The following is a 7,267-nucleotide window of genomic DNA, read 5'->3' as shown; positions in this document are numbered from 1 at the left end:
GACGCCCGGGCTGGGACTTTGTGCTGGGCCCCCGTCCCGCCCACCCTTTCAGTCGGGGTCCCGAACGGATCCCGGCCTCCAGTGTCTTCCCAGGAACCTCTGAGCAGCCGCTGGCCGGCCCGGACAGCCCCGTCGGGGATCTCGGGACCGACGCCTCCACCGCTGGACCCTTAGGAGAAGTCCCCAGTTCGGGACCGTCCTAGGAACCAGGCTTCTCCCTCCTTCTTCCTCCCCCTTCTGCTGCCCTTTTCCCGTTTCCCCGCTTCTTCGCCAGGCTCCCCGTCCCTAGCATTCTCAGCCCGGAGCCTCTCGCGGGTGGGGGGAATTCAGAAGCGCGGCCGGCTCGCTCCTCAGCAGGCTTCCCTGAGTGGGGACACCGCCTCTCCTGCGAACATGGAGGCTTCCCAGGGAGTGGGTCCCACTCCCAGCCCAGACCAGATGTTTGGGGGGAGAGGGGGATGGGGAGGCGGCTGGCAGCTCCTGAAGGGGGTGGAATAAAGAGTATGCCATTCTGCTTATTTTCAGAACGGCCTGCAGGCATCCTGCTAAGTTAGAGTGGATTTGCCTGAAAGGCTGAACATGTGGATAAACCATTTCACTGGGGTATTTCTCCAAGTGAAACAATACACAAACCATCCCGCCTCCTCCCCCCCTTTTCACGTTAAGCCATAGTGACTGGTTTGTGTTGTTTAGCCTGTGCTTTTTAGTCTTTCTGTGGGTTTCAAACGGTCTGTATAAATGGGTTTTTAGAGCTGACTTTGGGATTCTTCTTTGGTGTGGGAATTGGACATTGATGTCAGTGGCTCTATGAAGCGAGAGGTTCTGAGCTGGTATCACCGGGAAGGAGCCAGAAAATATGTTTGCGCTGAAAATGAAGTTTTGCAGAGCGAAAACATTGGTAAACCGGGGTTAATCTTTGAGAAATTTGGGGAAATAGTTCTCACTTCCCCAAAGAGTTTTCTAAGAAGCAGTAATAATTCTGGCGTTATTGTTGGTATGGCCGACTCTGCCTTTGCCTCTGCCCATCAGGAGGGATAAGTTGTGGACTTAGCAGCCTTATTGGATTTCATCTGCCTTGGAATAAGGAGATTAGATCTGTTGGCAACAGTGGAGCTGTCTAGAGATCTTGGCCTCTCCGATGGTAGAGAATCTGACATCAGCCCACTGGCACCAGAGCTGGCTCAAAGAGGGTCCACAGTGTTCCAAGGGGAAGTGGTGTCGCTGGCACCTCTCTGCCCGCCAGCTCTGCGAAGGGCCAAAGGGATGTGGGCCATACATCCTGTGGCCCTCTGCATTTCCCCCAGCCTCCTCGGGGGATCGGGTGAGTCAGTGATTACCAATGTGCTGTGACCATCTCACAGGCTGAGGAGGAGAGACTGGGACTTAGTGGCCTTGAGAACAAGAGCCCAACTGTTGGGGAAAAGAGTGGGAGGGGATCTGCACTCTGGTGGGGGTGTGAAAATCCCCAGCAAGCTGACACAAGTTAGCTATAGAAACTGGGGAGAAAGGGATGGGGTGAGGTGGATTGGGTGGGAGGCTGCCTTAGGTGGGAGCTGCCAGGCCATTTTTTGTGAGAGCTCAGAACCAGAATCCATCATGTTCTCATTGGCCCTTGGTTGACCATTTCGTTTAGTTAGCAAACTAATGGCTTAATATTCACAAAATGCACGTGATGTCCTAGTTAACCAGGACACCAGAGCACCAGGAGAACCCAGGTCAAATGGGGGACTGGACCACCCACTTGCATGCCTTCCTTTCTGTATAAAATTTTGATTTGTTTCCTCATGCCTTTTGTTTTGGTCTTGTTTCTGTGTGCCTGAGCTGCTGCTGATGAAGGGTTGGAACAGGGCAGGCCAGAGCTAGTTAGTTGTCTCAGGAGACGGGATTTCACCTCAGTTTTCCAATACAGGGAAATCATCCCTTCTTGGGGATTTGAGTTCTTCTCTGGGGGCTCTTAAGTGTCCCTGTGTCCACTGTTCTGAAAGGTACCCTTTCTACCATGCTTTGGGAACAGTACTGACTGAGTCAGGTGTTTGACCCAGGTACAGGCTTAGGGGTATTTCCTGAACAGTCAGGAGAAGCATAGTGTAGTAGAAAAATCAAGGACTCTGGCTTAGCAAGTATCTTAACTTCTCTGAGCCTAGACTTCTTCCTCATCTGTAAAATGGAGGTAATCCTGTTCTGGTGAGATTGTGAGAATTAGGTGAGCCCCTGTATATAAGGTGCTTGGCACCCAGTAAGTACTCAATATAGATTATAGATTAGCTTCTTTTTTTTTTTTTTTTTTTTTTTTTTGAGATGGAGTTTGGCTCTGTCATCCAGGCTGGAGTGCGGCAGCACGATCTCAGCTCACTGCAAACTCAGCCTCCCGGGTTCAAGCAGTTCTCCTGCTTCAGCCTCCCCAGTAGCTGGGATTACAGGCGCGTGCCACTAAGCCTGGCTAATTTTTGTGTTTTTAGTAGAGATGGGGTTTCGCCATGTTGGCCAGGCTGGTCTCGAACTCCTGACCTCAGGTGATCCACCCGCCTTGGCCTCCCAAAGTGCTGGGATTACAGGCATGAGCCACTGTGCCTGGCCAGATTAGCTTATTTTTGTTGATGGTGTGAAACAGTCAGATAAACTGTTCCTTTCTCACCTTTTTCTTTCCTAGATTGTCAGCTTCATTATAATTGGTTAGGTTTTTTGAAAAAGCTATTTGGGAGGTTTGTTGAGGTGACATAGTGGTGTCCTGGTTAAGCTTATGGACTTTGAAGTCAGAGTGGATTCAACTGTTTCATCCATAGTCTTTGGTTAGAAGAGTGTTTGACCTCAAGCAAGTTACTTAATCTGATTCCCAGTCTTCTCTTATACATGGGGATAATAATAGCATTTGCCACATGAGGTTGTTGTGTGGATTTAATGAAATTGGAAGTCAAATACTTAGCAGAGTCTGGCATCTACTATATGCTTAGTAAATGGTAGCTTTTAAGTTTGTACCTCTCAGCAGTGACTCAGATCTGAGATCACTTGTGTTCCGAAAAAGGGGTTTTAAAGTTTAGAAATCTGATAAAACCAATTACCCTGTTGTGTATATCCAGTCTCGGAATATGGCTGCTGCTGTAAGCTGGAGGGCTTCCTTAGCCCCAAGTGTGTCTGTGGAAAACCCCCTGAAGAGTATCCTCGCTGGGGAAGTTGTATCAGTGCTGAGTCAAGACCACAGGCTCCCAGCCTTCTGTTCTAGACACATGATCTGTCAGCCAAAGTTGAAGAGCTTGAGATGAGGGCTATGAGAAGATTTGATGAGAACATTGATTCCAAGAATCCTAACCCAGCCCAGTGCCTTAATTCAGGGCTTCCCTACTAGTGTGCTGCAGATGGATCACAGATGTGCTGGAATACTGATCCCCTTATTCCTAGGGGCAGCTAAAGTTCCCAGTCAGTCCCCTCTGGATGGGATCAGCTTCTACCCCATGTACTGTAGAAACAGTAATATTTTCTAGGTGTGCCTCGATGGGAAAAAGGTTGTGAAGCTGCTGTGTTACACTGCTTCTTGGCATCCTTCCTTACCCCCTATCTGAGTAGCACTTCCCATTCTGTTGGGTATTGAGAAGTTTGGGGTTGGGGCAATTAATGGAGCTCCTCTTTATGAATACCAGAATGAGAGCCAATCTCTGGTCTGATACAGTCCCAGTGTGTTTTGGTCCAAACTAGATTACTACCCAAACTCAGTTGCTCAGAAGCTAGTATTCTGGCCAGTACTGGACTTTCCATAGAGAGGGGAGGCAGAGGGCTCTAAGGTCTTTGAAAGGATAGCTGTCTGTCTTTGTTGTGATTGTACTCTGATTTTTCTCTTTGTTGATTTACTACAGACTTGACATGGAGTCTAAAAGTTCTGATGCCAGAAAAAGCCCTGTATATCCCTTAGGAGGAGGCTTTCAGGGCATAAGGGTAGGGTTGTGTGACAGGAGCTATCCCTGCTGCAGTTTCTCCTCTCACATTTCCCTGGTGATGACTGACAACTTGGGGGTTTTTCTGTAAGTGTAGCATTGATGTGGGAGCTAAGCTGGCCTGGGTGCTAGTTGTCTAAGAGGCTTTGAGGGGCCTCCTTTGACACAGAAATGGGCTGGGAAAAACTTGGACTAAATATCAGGTTCCAAATCACCATGGTGGAAATTTTTTTCCCAGCCCTCAGGATTGTGGTGAATTAGTTCAGGCTAGAATAGAACTTGGGAGGGGGCAGGGAAAGGGCCTTTCACAGCAGCTGGTCAGAGGAACCTTCTTCTTGTTCAGAGACCCCACAGAGAAGACCCTAGACCACAGAGAGGAGTCTTATTCCCTTGACCTTCTGATATGACCCTGCCTTAGTCTGGGGGAAGCCTGTGTGTGGTGGGGAAGGGACTGATGGAGTGGACTCTGTCATTTGGGAATGTTTTCATTGCCCAGAGGGAGATTCAGCGTTTTTTTGTTTTGTTTTGTTTTGTTTTCCTCTTAAAGTAATACTTATTCTCTAAAGAAAGTATGGGACAATTCAGAAAGAAGAAAAGACTAAAGATTTAGGTTAAAGAAAAACATCCATATTTTCTCTAGTTTCTTTACCAAATGCAAATATTTTCTTAGTTCCTTTACCAAATGCAGCTGATGTGCTTTAAAACCTTTATATTTTTTTCTCTGCATAGAGTTTTATACAATGTTTTGATATTTGATTTATTTATTTAAGACAGAGTCTCGCTCTGTCACCCATGGTGGAGTGCAGTGACATGATCATGGCTCACTGCACCTCACTGCAGCTTTGAACTCCCAGGCTTGAGTGATCCTCCTGCCTCAGCCTCCTGAGTAGCTAGACCACAGGCGTGCGCCACCATGCCTGGCTAATTTTTTCATTTTTTGTAGAGATGGGGTCTTGCTTTGTTGCCCACATTGGTTTCAAACTCCTAGGCTCAAGTGATTCTCCCACCTCAGTCACCCAAAGTATTGGGATTTTAGGCATGAGCCACCATGCCCTGCCAGTATATATGTTTTTTATCCAGTTTTTTTGTTTGTTTTTTGCTTTTGTTATTTCATTAGTTTTCCCAGGCTAGTAATTGTAAGTGGTTTGTTTTTGTTTTTGAGACAGTCTTACTCTGTCACCCAGGCTGGAATGCAGTGGTACAATCTCTGCTCACTGCAACCTCTGCCTCCTGGGTTCAAGCGATTCTCCTGCCTCGCCTCCCAAATAGCTGGGATGACAGGCGCCTGCCACCACGCCTGGCTAATTTTTGTGTTTTTAGTAGAGACGGGGTTTCACCATGTGTTGGCCAGGCTGGTCTCGAACCCCTGGCCTCAAGTGATCTGCCCACCTCGGCCTCCCAAAGTGCTGGGATTACAGGCAAGAGCCACCAAGCCTGGCCTGTAAACATTTAAATGCTTGTACGATGGTCCATCAAGTGAAGGTACCTTTGTTTGCTTACCCATACACCTTTTCTTAGATATTTAGGTTTTTTGCTTCTGTTTGTCATCATAAACAATGCTGTGATGAACATCTTGGTGTACAAAGTATTTTCAATATTTAGAGTTTTCCTTGGGATAGAAACTCAAAATAGAACTTGCTAGATTGTAGGATATAACTGTTTTTGTTTCCAAATGGTTTTTAAAAGAGGGAATAATGTATGAGAAGGTTTTTAAAAGGATGGAAGAGGATTGAGAATAGCTTCTTTTCTCCTGATTATGAAAATAATAAATATTTATTAGGTAAATTTGGAACTTACTGAAAAGTGTAAAGAAGATAATAAAACCTATAATCTCACCATCTACTATTAACACTTTGATGTACGTGTATATATATTTTTTAACAATTGGGATCATACTGTGTATATTGTTTTGTAAACTGATTTGTTCATTTACTATTTTAAGCATTTTCTCATTTGCTTATATATTATTCAGTATCATTATTTCTTTTTTTTTTTTTTTTTGAGATGGAGTCTCACTCTGTTGCCCGGGCTGGAGTGCAATGGCCCGATCTCGGCTCACTGCAACCTCCATCTCCTGGGTTCAAGCAATTCTCCTGCCTCAGCCTCCCAAGTAGCTGGGATTACAGACGCCCACCACCACGCCTGGCTAATTTTTTTGTATTTTTAGTAGAGATGGGGTTTCACCATGTTGGCCAGGCTGGTCTCAAACTTCTGACCTTAGATCTACCCACCTCGGCCTCCCAAAGTGCTGGGATTACAGGTGTGAGCCACTGCGCCCGGCCCAGTATCATGATTTCATTACTGCATAGTACTCTATAATATTTTATCACTGCCTTATGTTGCCTTTTTTTTTTTTTTTTTTTTTGAGGTGGAGTCTTGCTGTGTCGCCCAGGTTGGAGTGCAATGGTGCGATCTCGGCTCACTGTAACCTCTGCTTCCTGGGTTCAAGCAATTCTTCTGCCTCAACCTCCTGAGTAACTGGGATTACAGGTGCATGCCACCATGCCTGGCTAATTTTTGTAGTTTCATTAGAGATGGGTTTTTGCCACGTTGGCCAGGCTGATCTCAAACTCCTGACCTCACGCGACCCACCTGCCTCGGCCTCCCAAAGTTTTGGGATTATAGGCATGAGCCACTGCGTCCAGCGTATCTTACCCTTTTAAAATCTCTTTTTTTTTTTTTTTTTTTGAGACGGATTCTCACTCTGTCGCCCAGGCTGGAGTGCAGTGGCTCGATCTCGGCTCACTACAAGCTCTGCCTCCCGGGTTCACACCATTCTTCTGCCTTAGCTTCCCGAGTAGCTGGGACTACAGGCGCCCGCCACCACGCCTGGCTAATTTTTTGTGTTTTTAGTAGAGATGGGGTTTCACCATGTTAGCCAGGATGGTCTCAATCTCCTGACCTCGTGATCCACCTGCCTCGGCCTCCCAAAGTGCTGGGATTACAGGCGTGAGCACCACGCCCAGCCTAAAATCTTTTTTTTGCTGTTACAAATAACACTGTGTTGAACATCCTGTGCATAAATATTTGTGTCCATCTCTGATTATTTCCTTAGGATAAATTGCTAGAAGTGGAATTATTGGGCCAAAGGGTATATGGTTTTTAAAGGCGTTTGAGACATATATCTTCTGAAAAAGTTTTATCAGTTACCTTTTCCACTGATAGTATATGTGTCTACCTTTCTCTGTAAGCTAACCGTTACTGAGTGAATTAATGTTTTTAAAGCCTTTGCCAGTTTGATTAATTAGACATGGTATCTTGTTTTACTTTGCAGTTCTCTGAACATTTCATTTTAAGTGTTTTGGCCATCTTTTATTTGCGTTCTTTGCTCTCTGTTGGGG

At 46.1% G+C, this 7,267-nt stretch overlaps 1 protein-coding gene across 11 annotated transcripts in view, besides 2 other annotated features; it reads left to right on the top strand.

Annotated features, from left to right (window-relative positions):
- FMNL3 (formin like 3) overlaps window positions 1–7,267 on the top strand; it is a 70,907-nt gene that overhangs the window by 400 nt on the left and 63,240 nt on the right. For 4 of the 11 annotated variants that reach the window (XM_047429860.1, XM_011538972.3, XM_011538970.3 and 1 more), the window contains exon 1: window positions 985–1,321. The exons of 6 other annotated variants lie outside the window; for them this stretch is intronic. In XM_047429860.1, coding sequence (XP_047285816.1) covers window positions 1,139–1,321 — 183 coding nt within the window. In that variant the 5' untranslated portion in view covers window positions 985–1,138. Of the gene's footprint in view, window positions 1–477; window positions 899–984; window positions 1,322–7,267 lie in introns of those variants that run through there. One more of the 11 variants, XM_011538971.3, reaches the window with a different exon arrangement.
- Window positions 2,891–2,980: an enhancer, noted in NCBI's record as "active region_6328". NCBI's record gives its function as "activates an Ori minimal core promoter by ATAC-STARR-seq in GM12878 lymphoblastoid cells {active_cell/tissue: GM12878}" and the evidence as "EXISTENCE:reporter gene assay evidence [ECO:0000049][PMID:35858748]".
- Window positions 3,001–3,090: an enhancer, noted in NCBI's record as "active region_6327". NCBI's record gives its function as "activates an Ori minimal core promoter by ATAC-STARR-seq in GM12878 lymphoblastoid cells {active_cell/tissue: GM12878}" and the evidence as "EXISTENCE:reporter gene assay evidence [ECO:0000049][PMID:35858748]".

The sequence above is a fragment of the Homo sapiens genome, chromosome 12 (assembly GCF_000001405.40).
Source record: "Homo sapiens chromosome 12, GRCh38.p14 Primary Assembly".
Classification (NCBI taxonomy): Eukaryota; Metazoa; Chordata; class Mammalia; order Primates; family Hominidae; genus Homo; species Homo sapiens.
Note: the sequence above shows the minus strand (reverse complement) of the source record. Positions and strands in the feature narration are given on the sequence as shown.